This window comes from Homo sapiens, chromosome 3 (assembly GCF_000001405.40).
Source record: "Homo sapiens chromosome 3, GRCh38.p14 Primary Assembly".
Lineage (NCBI taxonomy): Eukaryota > Metazoa > Chordata > Mammalia > Primates > Hominidae > Homo > Homo sapiens.
The window spans coordinates 132,452,598-132,470,126 of record NC_000003.12 but is presented as its reverse complement, the minus strand read 5'-3'; the positions used below and the strand labels follow the sequence as shown (position 1 = coordinate 132,470,126).

At 34.2% G+C, this 17,529-nt stretch overlaps 1 protein-coding gene across 4 annotated transcripts in view; it reads right to left on the bottom strand.

The window, feature by feature from the left end:
- The window catches only part of DNAJC13 (DnaJ heat shock protein family (Hsp40) member C13), a 121,531-nt gene that overhangs the window by 68,906 nt on the left and 35,096 nt on the right, over positions 1 to 17,529 (bottom strand). For all 4 annotated transcript variants that reach the window (NM_001329126.2, NM_015268.4, XM_047447819.1 and 1 more), the window contains exons 7-20: positions 16,623 to 16,829; positions 16,433 to 16,528; positions 15,970 to 16,061; positions 13,726 to 13,892; positions 13,547 to 13,626; positions 13,295 to 13,464; positions 12,759 to 12,858; positions 9,770 to 9,877; positions 8,922 to 9,077; positions 7,604 to 7,660; positions 6,310 to 6,431; positions 4,057 to 4,132; positions 3,733 to 3,828; positions 2,814 to 2,957 (exon numbers count right to left, since the gene is read on the bottom strand). In NM_001329126.2, the coding sequence (NP_001316055.1) occupies positions 2,814 to 2,957; positions 3,733 to 3,828; positions 4,057 to 4,132; positions 6,310 to 6,431; positions 7,604 to 7,660; positions 8,922 to 9,077; positions 9,770 to 9,877; positions 12,759 to 12,858; positions 13,295 to 13,464; positions 13,547 to 13,626; positions 13,726 to 13,892; positions 15,970 to 16,061; positions 16,433 to 16,528; positions 16,623 to 16,829 (1,671 nt within the window). The remainder of the gene's footprint in view (positions 1 to 2,813; positions 2,958 to 3,732; positions 3,829 to 4,056; positions 4,133 to 6,309; positions 6,432 to 7,603; positions 7,661 to 8,921; positions 9,078 to 9,769; positions 9,878 to 12,758; positions 12,859 to 13,294; positions 13,465 to 13,546; positions 13,627 to 13,725; positions 13,893 to 15,969; positions 16,062 to 16,432; positions 16,529 to 16,622; positions 16,830 to 17,529) is intronic.

Here is a 17,529-nt window from a genome sequence, read left to right as displayed (position 1 = left end):
GTCCTCTGCCTAGGAAAACCAGAGACCTTTGTTCACTTGTTTATCTGCTGACCTTCCCTCCACTATTGTCCCATGACCCTGCCAAATCCCCCTCTGTGAGAAACACCCAAGAATTATCAATAAAAAAATAAATTAAAAAAAAAAAAAAAAAAAAAAAAAAAAAGAATCTCTGCTCCAAATGAAACCCATGTATATACATCAGATATGAAAACTCTAATCCTCATTGTGATAGAAACAAAAAGTAGAAAGTGGTATAGATTAAAACACGGAAGTCTGTAATTTCATTAAAGTGCAAAAAAACCCCAGACTAGACGACATAGAAAGAAAAAAGGTAAAATAAATTTTAAAAGATATTATTTCAAATATAAACCCTAAAAGTTATATAAGAAAATGTTTCCTACAAATTTTAATTCTGTGCACTATCATGAAAACTAATGCAAAGTGGCTTGAATAAAATATATAAATAATTCAAAATTTGGTTTAATGACAAATCTTTTCCTAAACTTTCTAATTAAGAAGTACTTTCTTCAATCCCTCCTCCCCGCCAGGACAAAAGGCTGGCAGTCCAGAGTAATAAAAATGTAAATGCTATACAGAAAAAGGACAAAAAGCTCTCCATAAACTAAGTGACTGAATTGGAGACTCAGGCTAACAGCTCTAACTAGCTAAACAAATCCCTTAACTGAAAATAACAAAGAAAAAGCAACCTTATACATTAGCCAAAGGTTACTACTAATCCAGCACAGAGCATCAGCTGCAAATGGAACTGACTTCATAAACATTGACTATATAAGAAATGCAGATTGTTTCAAGAATCGCCAGTTAATCTTGACAATGATTAGTTTTCAGACTCTAACTACAGCATAAGATCATTCCAAACTTTGATGTTAGTGTTTCTATTAATAAAATAGTCACAAAGATTATTTGCTGTTCCCTAAAGAAATTACTGTTAAAAATAGTACCCACGCAGAAAGGGGATAAGCCATTGATGCTAACCAAAAGATCTTCTTGACCAACATTTATCTGGCATCATTATTTGCTCAAAACTTTAGTAATACCCCATGTAAATGATACCAACAAACCAGTAAAACTTTTATATTAAAAATATCCTTTTCCCTCTCAATTGTTTTAAAATAGCAGATTTTTATCCATAGTTTTAGCTAAGACTAGAGCTTTGTGTTCATGCTTATGCTGGATAAATGTTACATATGAAGTCTGATGCCAAAAACTTATCTACAGTATGATAATTATATTCAACAGCTTGAAAGAACTGTTATTTTAGAAATCGGTTTAACTACCTGAAGCCAGGAGCTTGTAATTTTTAATAACTGTGAAAATCATTCATATCTGTAGATTTTTCAACTGTTCAAATGCTATACCAGTATTATCCTGACCATATATGTATATAGTGCCTTTACTATTATTTTGCTTGTATATCAAAAAAACCCTATAAGATAGAGAAGGGAGGTATTGTTATTCCGATTTATGAAAGAGGAAAGTAAGGTTCTAAAAACCGTAACTTGGATTAACAAGTGATGAAACTAGGCTCAGAAGTTAACCAACTCAAAGTTCAGTATTCTCTTTACTATACTACATAGTCACTTGAAAGCCTAATGATTCTTTATATTGAATATATCACTTATATAAATTAGCAGTAATCTATTATTCTGGAGCTCTAAAGAATTGAACATTGATCCCAATTTCAGATAGATACACAAGACTATAATATTTGTTCTGCTATGCTTACGTATTCTGGTAATCCATAAGAAACCCACTTGTTTTAGAAAGATATTAAAGTTATTTTCCTTGAATATGGCAATAGCTACCATAAGTAAGGAGAAGATTAAGGAGAAACAATGTATGTGTGATCAACAAAAACTGAGATCAAGATTGCTTCTACAGGACATCTCAATTCATACTCAACCACTGCCAAACCCATTATAGATAGAAGAATGCATTACTGAATCAGGTTCTGTAGAACACACTGCATGCTGAAGAATGAGACTAAAACTGTTTTAGATCTAACTTTGATTTGAGAAACAAATATTACAAAATTTAAGTACGCACAATAAATTGAATTTAAAATGTGAATCTTAATCTCCAAAACACTTGTCTGGCTAGTTCTGAATAAAAAGGCTAACAGGAAGAGCACCTTTATTTTTATAGGTGCAAAACAAAGTCCAGAGAAGAAGGGAAGAAAATAAATACATATGAATAAAAAAGAACAAAAACTGGAATGGAAGAAAAATTAAGAGTGGAATTCTATATTAAATACCAAAATAAAAACCTAATCATCAACTCATAAAACTATGAACTAAGGAAAATGTATACAAAAATATGAATTAGAAATTAGGTACCATTCGGCCGGGTGCGGTGGCTCACGCCTGTAATCCCAGCACTTTGGGAGGCTGAGGCAGGCGGATCACGAGGTCAGGAGATTGAGACCATCCTGGCTAACACGGTGAAACCCCATCTCTACTAAAAATACAAAAAATTAGCCGGGCGTGGTGGCGGGTGCCTGTAGTCCCAGCTACTCGGGAGGCTGAGGCAGGAGAATGGCGTGAACCCAGGAGGCGGAGCTTGCAGTGAGACGAGATCGCTCCACTGCACTCCAGCCTGTGCAACAGAGCAAGGCTCTGTCTCAAAATAAATAAATAAATAAAATAAAAAAGAAAGAAATTAGGTACCATTCATTTTTAAGCTTCAGGTATTCAGCAAGAAATGTATCGATACCATCTCTGTGAACAGCAGGAACTAAAGTAGACTAGGACACACAGAAGTGCCAGGAATTTGGAAGCAAATTTTATTTTTACCTCTTTTTGAGCAATGCCCATCCTATCCCTCCAGTGCATCAATACAAGATCCACTTTTTCTTTGGCAAATTTTTCAACTTCTTTAGCAGCTTTTCCAGCTAGTCTTTGCCACTCTGGAACTTTATTAAATTTTCCATACTGATCCTGTAAAATAATGTTGGAATCCATTACATGCCTGTTTGCAAATTTATTTTAAAACTCTATGTAAAGCTGAGTCATTCTATCTATTTTATAAGGTTAATGCTGGATGTTATGGTTCAGTGAAGAAACAAACTGAAAACTTCTACAATTATACTTTTTATCCAAGAAACTAACTTTTCTACTTAGGTTTCAAGATGATTCTTTTATGAGGGGTGGCAAGATGCAAGTGGGAGCTGGGTGCAGACAGAGAAGGAGTGATGACAGAAAAAGAATACACGTAAGAAATTATTATAGTAGTGTATCATAAAGATGTTTAATTTTTCCATGGATGGCCCAACCTTATAATTAACATAGATCTTGTAAGGAAAAAAACCCTACCTATAACTTTTTTCATGGTTGGCCGTTTTTACCAACAACATTTATCAATCTCATATGTGCAAAATACCATATTTACACACTTACTGGTACTCCAGAACGTACCAATAAGTTGAATTAGAGAAACAAAACACAGAATAAAATGACCACTATTCATAACATTAATTTGTGGTGATAGCTGCACAACTCTGTAAATATACCACAAATTATTTAATTGTATACCTTAAAAAGATGAATATTATGGGATGTAAATTTTACCTCAATAAAGATATCAATAGTTAAGTATACTATTCAATGCAATGAATTCTTTGTTTCTAAAATTTTTAACGTGTTTCAAAAAAAGACATATATATAACAGTACCCTTACTCCTAAAAAAGGCACACTTGGGACAGTCATATTTACCATTGCTATTTTCACATTGTCTCTAACATGCATCCGATCAGCATCCTTCTCAGGTACGAGATCTGAGCTTTCCAAGTATGCCAGCAAGCCTGGCGGCTAAAAACACAAAATCCATTTTCAAAACAATGTGAAAAAGAAAATTTAGCCTTAAAAACCCAAATAAATTAATACTGTGGCTTAGCTATTGAGGGTAAAACTTTACGGTAACTCCTATGATAAATAACTTTTCAATAAAAAACAAACCATCCCCTTTTAACAGTACAGATAACTTGTTCAATTAAATTTTATTAGGCAGTATATAACCTAATTTCTCAACTGACTTACCAAAATGCGTTTCAACAAGTTTGTTGCAGTTGCATTATCAGCTGTCCAGAGTCCCACTAAATGTCTACTTAGCTGTCTGAAAAAAGCAGACGTTGAGAAAGGTTTGCTGCTTTATCTCAGCTAGAACAGAAAGGAATTTTTAAGAACAAAATATCACATAATTATAAAAAATACGGCTACAGTAAAAAAATCATTCCGATGTTAAAAATAGTTATTAAAAAATTTAATGTGGAGAGTTATAATTCAAATATTACTAATATTTTGGAATTTTCTAAAAATTAAAATGTTTTCCTAATAAACATACACTCATTTTCAATAAACCCGAACAGGAAAAAAGTAGGTTTTTATCCCACTTAAAGGAAGAAAAAAAACAACAAAAACAATTAGATTTGATGACACAATTAATTTGTTTAACCAGTCCTACTAATATAGTGACAATGGCATCCTGGCATTTTTTGGAATTCTGAACAAGCAGAAGTCAACAACTGTTCTAATATAACCGTTTTGGCAAGATCAGAGAGAAAATTATTTTCACTTCTAGAGTTTGGGCAAAGACCTAAACCACTTATAGCAAATTATTCAACTCATCTCACTTAAAAGCTATAAAAGTATATTTTAATTCAAAGTAAAAATCTAAGATCCAAGTTCAATCTATGGTTTAGTCATTTACTAATTTTAATCCCCATTCAACACCTGTCACCTTAACTGAAAGCTCCTCATAAGTAGAAACCCTATTTTACCCACCAGTGACCCTTCTGTGCTTTGGTGGGGATTCAATTACCATAGCTATAAGAATGGTCATGAAACCTATGAGGGAAATATCCAAATAACCACCCACAAACATATGTTTTATATATGTTACATTACTGAAGAACAAAATTTAACTGCAAAACCCAAAATATACTTTGTCACCAGAAAGTGAACGCCACTAAAACTGTTCATTCCTGTGCCAATTTGAAAGCTAACATATTGAAGTAATTAAACTTGTAATTTCCTTCACTGGCATTTGGTAGGTTATCATATCAGTGACTCCTAAAAAGGCTTTAGTTAGGGACAAAAGAGATAACATTTTATAACAGCAATTTGTAAAAGATAAAGCAATGCAAATAGAGTGATATTTCTATTATACATTGACAGATCTTTAACAGTGTAATTCAAATATTACTAACCTTTTGGAATTTTCTCCAAATTAAAATGCTTCCCTAATACACTAATTGATCACAGTAGGGAATTTAACTGGTTAACTATACTGAAGAGAAACACAACAAGCAAGCATTTAACATGGGGAGGGGTTAATGGAATAAGCTATCAATAGTCTCTAATGAAAGATGGTGTCTAGCACTGCTAATAAGACAATACTAGGAAAACATCCTTATTATCTTTATCCTCTAAGACTAGTTTTGTTCTTAACACAAGTGAGGGAGGTAGTTTCTTCTAATAGTATAAACAGTAAAAAAAAAATCCCTGGCAAGGCAGCATACCATGATGTATAATAACTGCACATAGATGACAAAGAAAATGTACAGTATTGTAACAAACTAAACGTTTAACTCAGCAACTTATGCTATTATTTAAAAAGTCAAAAAATAAAATTAAAACTATTTATGATACTGTTTTTACTAATATGAGTCATAATATAGTATGCTTAAGATAGCTGAAAGGGTCACATGTTAGAAACCACAAAGAGGGTTAAAAAGGGCTGGAATTCATGTAGTGTGGAATAAGTGAATAAATTTATGTGTTTATATTTGAATGACTATCAGGAAAAAGGGAATCATTTAATTACAAGAGATTTAGGTTAAGTCTAGCTTAGGCTGGATATGTAAGGTTTTCTGTGGTTTTTAAAGTAGAGTATTTGACCAAAGATATTTAAAAATCAACTATGTGAGGTTTTCCCATGGGGTCATGTGCATGCAAGATGGTCACAGGGATATAAGGAGAAAAGACCTGAGCATGTGGTTCTAGTTCCATAAGCTTTTAAGTACCCTTTTCCATATTGGTCCCATGACTATGGTGTCAGGGCCTGATAATAGGTCGGGGAAAAAAAGTAAACAGTGTTTCCCTCCAGGTTTTCCATAGGCAGGGACAGTGATCACTTGGGCAAAATCCTTCTGTAAGGAAAGGAAAAGAACTAGGTGGATCAAAAGAAAATGTATTATTTGTGTAATACAAACACATTTAGTTTTATGTAACATCTGAATCAATTCTCTAGACAGGAAGTTAAATTGCAGCAAATTGAATTAAATCACCTACCTATTTGTAAGCATCCTTTGATCTGAGCTTATTGTAAACATCGCAGTATGCAAGTGTCGAGGTAAGGCACCTTCACTTAGGGCAAGCTCCTGCATTTTTGTAGCAATTTCTTTATCACCTTCCTTTGGAAAAAGGGTAAGATGATCCCTAAGGTGGCAATCCAGGACAAGCTATCCAAACTTTAAAAAACTAATTTTACATATTTAAATGAAAAAAACATTCAGTATGTAATAGAAGTTTTTAAAATGCATCTTCTAATCACCCAAAAAAAAATAGGTGAGTAGTAGCACAGGTAATTTTTAAACCTTTGGAATAAGGTTGAGATGTTTCCAGACAAATTTACCTCATAAACTATGCTTTGCTAAACTTAATATTAAAACTAGGTTCACTCCCTCTGTGTATAGCTGCCAACAAAAAGGAGAGGCTTGGCTATCGCAAGCTCTGTAAAAGATGGGCACTTTGGAAGCTAACATTGAGCAAAGAACCCATTAGCTAAAGGGAGAAAATTAGCCTTTGGCTGTATATGCACACTAAAAATGCAAATAAACTTTGATGTTCCATTCAGTTCAATGCCTATATATATTTACAGCTACTTAAGGGCATACTAATTCTGTGATTAATTGTGTGCTATACTTATGCACAATAAATGAATTTTTTGGTAAAAGGAGACTTTCTTCAATTGTATTCAAATTGCTTCTATGACAACAAAATACAAGAATTCAAAAGCCATTTAGACTGATGTCATTGTAATCATCATAGTATGCAACAGACATTCATAGCTACAACCTTTTAAAAAATATAGAAGCATAAAGCAACTATCTTAAAGAAGCAGTATCTTCGACAAGATCATGCTCCAATCTCTAGAGCTCAATTACAAATATGCTTTATCAAGAACTTTTTGTTGCCTTTCTTACTTGGTATCATTTTGGTATGAACTAACTCCATCAATAGATTTCTATACAAGCTCAGTATCTCAAGACTTCAACACTGTCAACATTATCCTTCCAAAAAAGAGCAACAGATAGAATGCTAACTTTTAAGTAAGTAAAATAAACAAATAATGCAGTAACAGATTTATTTGCTCTACAACTTCACTATGAAATTAAAACTTTTATTATTGAGGATTATTTCTGTAACAAGTTTAAAACTAATTTATAATAAAGATTTAAAATTACTTTTCTTACCCAGAGAAATGTTTATTTCCCAAAAAGACTGAAAGGCAATATTGTCAACTTCAATTAAAACAGCCTATCAACATTCAAGTAAGGTTAAAATTTCAAAATTGTTCTCTCACCTCTATTATTGCCTTCATAACCAACCCAGCTCCTTTTATTATTGCCATGGAAGGATGCTTTAAAGTGAGGGGGAAAAAGTATCAAAAAATAAAAAAGAATTTTATTCCAACACATTTAGCTGTTACTCTTAAGAAGGGTATACATTTTTACACAAGGTATAAGCCACAAAATTAGTAAAGGATACATCTCAAAGTCAGTTTGGTTAAATATTTTAGGTATTTTTACAATATAGCCTTAGAGATACAGACACATAAACAAAGAATTTACATTAGTAGGAAACAGAAGGCATCTATTTGAATAATTATAATTATTTGAATGATACATATCAATGATACTAAAATAATAAAAATATAAACATCATATATACATACATGTATCTAATAAGTACTATAGTACTGTATAAAATAACAAATGTTTTCCAGTGTTTATGAAGAGCCCTGCTAAAGCTCATTTTATCATTTGGGAATTTGTAAAGAAAAGGGAACTTTGGGCCTACCACAGAAAAATGAGTTTTTCACTACTAAAATGGAGGCCAGGTGTGGTGGGTCATGTTTGTAATCCCAGCACTTTGGGAGGCTGAGGCAGGAGGATCGCTTAAGCTCAGGGGCATGAGAACAGCCTGGGCAACAAAGGGAGACCCCGTCTCTACAAAACAAATAAATAAATTAGCCGGGTTTGGTAGCATGTGCCTGTGGTCCCAGCTACTCAGCAACTGAGGTGGGAAGATTACTTGAGCCTGGGAGGCTGAGGCTGCAGTGAGCTGTGATTGCATCACCGCACTCCAGTCTGGGCAACAGAACAAGACCTTCACCTCAAAAAATAAATAAAATAAAATAAAATAAAAAAGCAAGATATAGAAAATGGGCAGAGTGTCAAAACAGCAGTGAACACCCATCAATGGGACTCTACATGAAACACCAAGAAATCTGTACACTCAAAATGTACCAATATGATAATGTACTAGGTGCATTTATTCGTCAATATTATAGATCAAGCTTGTCCAACCCGCAGCCTACATGGATGCTTATATTTATTCAAAGCTAACCCAGGATGGCTTTGAGTGTAGCCCAACACAAATCTTAAACTTTCTTAAAAACATTTTTGCAATTTTTTTTTCTTTTAGGTCATCAGATATTGTTAGTGTTAGTGTATTTTATGTGTGGCCCAAGACAACTCTTCTTTCAGTGTGGCCCAGGAAAGCCAAACGACTGGACACCTCTGCTATAGAAGTATGCAAATGTTATCTTAGAAACAGTGATCCTAAAAGCGGTTCCCTTAAATTCACTGTTATCTGACAAGAAAAATACAAGCTCTCACCTGAAAAAGTTTAAAAAGGGTTCTTCCATTGGATGCTACCATCTCCAAGAGCATATCAAACTGCTGCCCTTCAGTTGTCTCACTATATGGAGCACAGAGGGCAAAGGTAAGGAAGTCCAAGAGCGAACTAATAACTAGGGCACCAGTCCCATGATCCTGAAACAATGCAACAGATTCTCTTAAAGACTTAAGAGATGGGGACCTTCAGTTAAATTTTAACAATAATGTGTTCCTTTCTGTTATTCTATATGTCAGACATCAACATTGACTTTAATTTCTCAACATGAGGTTCAAAGTTGGATGACTCTTTAGTACTTGCTTTTGCTCATATAGTGAATCCATTATCCATCATACCTCAAAAGGAACAATTAAAATTCAAATTTCAAGAGTATAACCAAGACTTCTCAAATGTGTATAACAAAGGTTAATATTTGCAAAAAATAATATTTGACAATATTTGCAAAACTCTGGCAATCTGCTTATGTTCCTTCAAGATGCTATAGAATGCCCATCTCCAAAATTGTTATCAGGGACTGAGGAACAAAGATTTGGCTTAATTTTTTTTAGAGCAGTTTATTTCCTAATGATATTTTTAAAGAAAGAAAAAACAAAAATTTGGAGTATCCCTGTGAAAATCTAAAGGCTTTGACATCTATCCTTCCCAGGTGAATGGATATAGTCCTAAGACAAAATATTTTATTATCAGTGACCAAGCTGAACTGTGACCAATACTGACCAAAGCTGGGGGCTACAATAAAAAAAAAAAAAATCATCCACGTGGCACTTCTAGAATATCTTTCAATAATGGTATGGTATCTACCATGAAGACAAATTTAATTATAACTTACCACATGGGAATTAAATTTCTCCAGTAAGTTTTCCAGAAACTTCTTTGACGAGAGAAGAGAAGCTTTGTTCAACTGTTCTTGTCTTAAGTCATAGTCATCATGCATGGGCTATTGATGAAAAAAAAAAAACAGTGATAATTCATAAGCAGTCCCATGTGCTAGCATCACGCAAAAGTCATTTATAAACAGTATTCATTACACATTGAAAGAATTAAAAACCATTGCCTTTAAAGTGTAAGGCAAAAAGGAAACTCGTGATAAGCAGGCAGAAGTGACGATTTACCATGATTTTGATCAGACTTCACAGATAATTTGCCCAACAATTAACTCAACATATACAAAAGGTACTCTCTCAAAAGTCACAGATCTTATTAAAAGGCAAACATTTGCCCACCCAGAATTTTATAACTAAAATTTGAAATAAAACTTAGCATTTAAATGTACTAAAATTAACAACAAATACTTGTCTCAGGGTGATTTTCTTTTGAGTGTATAAAACATTCCAGCGTGATGGTTAGGAGTAGAGCTCCAATCCTAATTTTACTACTGACAATAACTGGGAGACGTTACGCAAGGTAAGTTACTTTACATAAGTCTCTAAGTTTCATTTTCCTCAGCTGTAAAGTAGGAGTAATAGTATTTATGTAACATTACTATGATGCTTAGATGAGATAATTCATGTAAGATACAAAGCCAACACCTAATATGTAATGAGGGCTCAATGTTTGTTTCATAGCATTGTTTCTTACTTTTTTTTATTGTGGTAAACTACATATAACAAAAGTTACCATCTTAACCATTTTAAATTACACTGTTCAGTGGCATTAAGCATTCACATTGTTGGGCAACCATCACCACCACCCATCGCTAGAACTTTTTTCATTTTCCCAAACTGAAACTCTGTAATCATTAAACAATAATTCCCCATTCTGCCTTCCTCCCAAGCCCCTGGCAACCACCATTCTACTTTCTGTGAATTTGACCTCATATAATTAAAATCATACAATATTTATCCTTTTGTGACTGACTTCTTTCACTAGCATCATGTTCTCAAGGTTCATCCATGTTGCAAAACGTGTCAGAATTTCCTTCCTTTTTGTTTCTGCTCATTTAGCAAATACTGTATGTTACTATGGTTAATTGTATAAACTTTGGAGCCAGAAAGTGGGCTTGAAGCCTCCTCTGCCATTTACTAGCTACATGACCTTGAACAAGTTACTTGGGCCTTAAGTCCTTCTCTACAAAATAGATATAACAGTAATAACTTCTAAAGTTCATTGGAAGACTGAATAATATATGAAAAATTCATAGAATAGTACCTGAAACACAGAAAAAAATTAATCATTATTTATTAAACAGCTTGACAAGGCCTGTTAAGGATAAAAATTAAAATTAAACATGAATATTATCCTCAGGAAGCTGACAGATTGAGAAAAATACATCATGTTTAGAAATAGCAATAATTCAAAGAAGAAATTGCTAAGAAAGACAAGTGTAATATTTATGAAGGGTAATCTCACTTCAGGGAGGGATACATCACTACCACCTTCAGGAATAAGAAAGCTCCATTTATTTTTAAAATTTTATTTTAATTGTTGTGGGTACATAGTAGGTGTGTATATTTGGTAAGCTTCATTTAAAAGCTGACTTGAGCTCTTAATGAATAAGCAGGGAAAGAATTCTGAGCAGGGAGAATACATGAAATATTAAAAAATATATACATTGGTCTCCATCCTTGGCTCCTGACATAGAGCACCTAAAACCCTTGCAGACAGGGGCACTAGCAGAATCTTTTGTTGCAACAGTCTTTTACCCTGGTTCCTGACACAGAGCTCCTAAGAACTTTGCAATTTCCTGATAGGGGAGCCTGACACAAAGCTCTCTACCATTAGAATTTCCTGGGTAATAGGAACATCTTTTGTTCGAATAAAGCAACTCTCCATATCATTGTTAAGTTCTAGTTATCTCACTACTTGTTTGGAACAGTAAATAAAATTAATTTGCTTTTGGGAATGCAAGGTTTTACAGAAGTATTTACTTATGTTTATGTACGACTAAGCTTGCCTAAAACACTTTATATAAGGAAAAGTCCCAGGTACTACACACAAAACTGAGATAATCAGAAACTTCAAAACTGTACTAAACAATTGTTTCTCCCTCTGTACAAGCTGCCACTAAGTTAGATCTTTACTGCGCAAACAGCTTTCAGGTGTGCTGCTTCTTTAGCCCTGTGACTACCCTAGCTCAGCAACTCATTTCTTACGTGACAATTTGGTCTACCTGCCTCTAATTTTACTTCTATTCTCCACATACTACCAGTGTGGGTTTTTAAAAACTCAAACCTGATCACATTACTGCTCTCTTGCTAAAAAAAATCCTTCAGGTGTTCCTTACAAAAAGATAAAAATCTAGCTCCTCCCTCCTGATACAGAAGGTTTTTTATTACTGTCTGCATACATCTCTAGCTGCAACTCCTAATTACCCCCCATCCATACCTTATAACCCAACCATATTTAATTATTTGTTGCTTTCCAAACATGCCTTTTTATATGCTATTCCCCACCCAGGAAGGCCTTTCCAGAGCTAGAAAATTCCTGCCTGTCCTTCAAGATTCAGATCAAATGTAACATCTTCCAGAAAGACTGGGTGAGAATCTTTCATCTTCCCCTCATCACCAAACAAAAATAAAGTGCTGCTTTTCAAGATCCTATGGCCCCTACTACCTTACCTTGTACAGATATGCCTACCTTACCAGACTGTCAACAAAGTGAGGAAGAAAAGAACTTCTGTCTTAAGATCTTTGAATTTCTGGCACACAGCACATTGCCTGGTATTTAGGATATGCTAAACAAAGGTTTGAGTAACTATGAGAACAATTTATGAAACAGAAACAAGAACTTATTGGTACAATGAAAATCTGGGACTGTGGAAATCAAAACCACCAGTCAACTTAAGAAAAACCAGTTTCCTTAAGAAAACTACTACTTACACACATAAGGGCACAAAGCATATCAACTGCTGCATGGATTATTCCGTTGTTGCTTCTTTTGAGTGCTTTTACTACCTTCACCCCTAGACGCTCGCGAAACCTTTTGGAACAAAAAACAAGCATATACTAGCAATACCAGAACATTTTAAATTGTTATATTATTGAAATAGATCATATTAACTTTCCATTGCACTACTGGAACAATGACGTATTTTAAATTCCACCTCTGAAATTTATCAGTCTTCATAATAGTTTTTTCTTTGAGAGGGAAAATATTTTTTAGGGTTAACTAAAACTAAAAGGCATGTAATTTCCCATTCAAATTCAAGAGTCAGTTATATTACTGGTGAGTATGGGACCAATATTCCGCTTCTGCTGCCCTCACCTTCCTTTTTCATTTCTCATGAATAAAGTACCATATCACCCTATAAAAGGTATCTGGTTTAGTCAAGGAAAAGGAGGTGAATCGTTCATTATTTGCCATTTTGAGTAGTTCAAATTCTCTAAGAGAAGTTAAGTTTCAGAAGACAACTTACTTTGGAAGCTGAGTGAAAGCCAGGAAACCAGCTTTGGATGCCACAAGCCTCCTCACAGCCTGGAACTGACTCTCAAGTTCCGCATTTGAAGCAACGACATCCCCTTCTTGGGACAGTAATGCTGTTATGGCATTATTGATCAGTTTTTCTTTGTTTTCTGAGAAGAGACCCTAGGTGAAGAAAGAGTATTTCAAAAAAGTTTCCATACCAAAAGTTAGTAACAATGAACAATTATGATAAAACTTAGCTTACATCTTGTGTTACTGCATGTAGGACTCCACTGTATGAAATATTAGCATTGAACCTGAATACAGCATCTGCAAAGTTGCCATCTGTAAAGAGATTAAGAGGTTCAAAAAGAAGATACGAATTCCTAATTCTTAAATTAAGTAGATGAGTGGAAATGTAATTACATTTAAATCAATACTTACTTGGAGGCGTAGCTAAGAACCTGAGGTGAAGGCTCTCTACTTCCTCATCAACAGGCATGCTGAGTAACCCCCATCGCTGACCTTTATGGGTTGGTGTCATTTTTACACAAACATCTCTATTACCAGAGGCTCTTACTCCATCCAGCAAACTTGCTAATAAGGAATCTCTAAGTAAGATTAAAAGTAAAAAAAGGTTTTAGCATTGATGATTAAGGGGAATTTTGATCTAGCATGAAGCATAGGCCCTTTAGCAGGTAATCTGCTCAGGGACACACTACAGTTACAATGGGAAACACAAACAGTGGGGCTTTAGGAAGAGCTCTAATACTAGCTCTTCACCGTGCTGCTACATGACCTTGTACAAGTTACTTAAACACTAATTTTAATTTCTCTTTCTCTCCCTTTAAAATTATTTTTAACAGCTTTACTCGGTTCTAATTGACAAATCACAAGTCATCCAATTAAAACGTACAGTTTGATAATTTTTAATAAATTTATACAACTGTATAATCATCATCAGTTCTGATATATTTTCATCACTCCAAAAAATTTCCTTGTGCCCATTTGCAAAAGAACACTCCCCAGCCCCAGGAAACCACTGATCTATCTCTATAGTTTTGCTTTTTAAAGAAACTTCATAAAAACAGAATTATAGAATATGTAGTCTTAGGTGTCTTGCTTATTTTACTTATCATACATAGGCTTTTGAGATTCATCCAAGTTGTTGCATGTATTAGGTCAGTCCTTTTTTATTGCTGAGTAGTATTCCATTGTATGAACAGGCAACATTTTGTCTGTTTATTCACTGGCTGATCTAGATATGGATTGCTTCTGTTTTTGGCTATGAGTAATGATATTACGAACATTCATGTGCAAGTCTCTCTGTGGGCATCTTTTCATCTCTCTTGGATAGATACCTAAAAGTGGAACTGCTAGACCATATAAGTATGTGTTTAATCTTTTAAGAAATTATCAAACTGTTTTTCAAACTGGTTTTATCATTTTACCTTCTTACCAGCAATGTATGAGAGTTCTTTTCTCCATATCCTCGCCAACACCTGCCACTGGCAGTCTTTTTGATGTTAGTCATGTTAGTGAATATGTAGTAGTTTGCATTTTCATTTCCTAAAGATTCATGATCTTTTCATGTATTAACATTCATATTTTTCCAGTGAGGTGTCTATTTCAATCTTTTGCCCATTTACTATTGGGTCGCTTGGTTTTTTTCAGTATTGAGTTGTAAGAGTTCTGTATATATTCTGGATAGAAAACCTTTATTAGCTATATGCTTTGCAAAGATTTTCTCCCTGCGATCTGTCTTTTCTTTTTCTAAATGGTGTCAAAGTTCTAAATTTTAATGAAGTCTAACTAACAACCTTTTTTTCTTCTTTTCTAGATTGTTTTTGGTATTACATCTGGGAAATCTTTTCTTAACCCCAAGTCACAAAGAAGTTGCTTTACTTTCTGCATGTAAGTGTTATTGGGAATAAGAGGACCTTCTTCCTACGGCTACTGTCAGGACAAAGCAAGATAACGTACATAAAGCATCTCACAAACAGAGTGTTAAGATCCTTCCTCTGATTAGAACATCCATACTTTTTTTTTTTAAGGTGTTCTTTTCCATTGAATTCAGGACAGGAAAAAAACATAACCATTGCTTAACATTTCAGTCTTGTTGACCTTAGACTGAAAGCTTTGTAAGGCAAGAAACAGCTATTGGTCATACTATACTACTGGAAATACTATAAAAACACTAGTTATAGGCCAGGTGTGGTGGCTCATGCCTATAATCCCAGCACTTTGGGAGGTCAAGGCAGGCGGATCACTTGAGGTCAGGAGTTCGAGACCAGCCTGGCCAAGACGGCGAAACCCCATCTCTACTAAAAATACAAAAAAAGAAAAAAAGAAAAAAATTAGCTGGGCGTGGTGGCGCACACCTGTAATCCCAGCTACTTGTGAGGCTGCGGCAGGAGAATTGCTTGAACCCGGGAGATGGAGGTTGCAGTGAGCCAAGATCACGCCATAGCACTCCAGCCTGAGTGACACAGTGAGACTCTGTCTCAAAAAAAAAAAAAAAAAAAAAAAAATTGAAAATGGGAGGGTCATTTTAAATATGCAAGAAAATGTCTTTTCCCAAATTAAATGATTTTAAATTTCTAGACTACATATCTTTGGTTTTCCTTGTTGACCAAGCACTTTGCCTTGCACAACTAGGATTTCAAAAACTTAAAAAAAAAAAAATACCTCTCTGTTGAAGAATATTTCCGTACTTGCCCTTTTATAAATTCAATGGTAAAAAGTTGTGGATTTTCTGAGTCACAGACCAACGCAAATACCTAATGAAAAAACAAAAAATAGCTTCAACAAAAAAAAGTTTATAGTTTTATAGTATTTCATTATAAAATGCATCACTTAGCTTACAAAAGTCAGTATTTTAAGATGTGACTTGTTTACAATATAAGAGTTTAAAACTTTAAAATCTCAAATTTTCAGTTGAGTAATAAGTTCCATTCTTTATATACTTGGAAAATAACTTTTGTAATAATCATTGTTCTATGATCAATTAATATAAATATGTTAAGAGTTAAATACAGATTCTGTCCATTCCATATTCTTTAGCCATGAGTAAACATTAAAATAGAAAGAAAATTATCCTAATTTATCAATAGAAAGAAATCTCATTTAAGCTAACAATGCTGAAACTTACTTCTCCTAAAGGCTTCAATGTTGCAATATTATAGGTTGCCGGATCACGTTCTACTAAACATGTTTCTGTAAGTGCTAGAACTCTTTTAACAGGCTCCTTCAAAAAATAAAATTGAGACATATTAAGAAGTTATTTTTTAAAACGTCAAAATCAGGTGAACAAATTTTCATTTTTAACATATGGGTCTTACCGAATGTCTAGGTGATATTTTTTGGACTACAAACTCTGCTAAAGATGTGATGGATTCATCAGTGCTGTATTTTCCAAAGCGAAGATTCAAATATTGCTCGAATTCTAAAGGCTCTTTCCTGATCCGCAATGAAATACCTATGTAGTTACCAGCATGGTCTATTGCACTTTTAATAATCTCTTCTCTTTGCTCTGACGCAAATAAATGCTGCACAAATTTAGAAATTTAAAAAGTCAGAGTTGAAACAACTGAAATGTGTCTGTAGCTAATCAACTCATAGGAAAGGTATTAAAGTAGCAATTCTAGAGAAAAAAGAGGTAGGTATTAGAGGCAAATAAGCAGTTGTTTCAATGAAAAGACTATTACTAAATTAAAATAATAAAGTCTGGGATACAGAGCTTTGCAACTAACTCACTGAACGGCAATTATCTCAAAATTTCTCAGGTTCTGGTTCTCATCACCTTGTGCAAAACAGCATGCTGGGTCTTCCAAGAAGGGCCTCCAAGGAACCCCAGCCAAGCCACTGGGGGTGATGGGTACTGTGTGGGCAGGATTCCCAGTTTCAAACAACGCAGCTCTGATTTAATCTGTTTTACACAGTAGGCTTCTTTGCAAGATGATGCTGAAGAATGTTTAAATGTTTACAAGTCATTGGCCTACCGATGTTACAAACCAACTTTCTGGGCTCTATTTACAAAGGTAAGGGAACAGGCTACAGGATGAGTATCTGTTATTTGAAATGCTTGGGATCAGAACTATTTCAGACTTCAGAGTTTTTCAGCATTTGGAATATTTTCATTACACTTACCAGTTGAGCATCCCAAATCTGAAAATCCCAAATCTGAAATGCCCCAACAAGCATTTCCTTTAAGCATCATGTTGGCACTCAAAAAGTTTCCGATTTTGG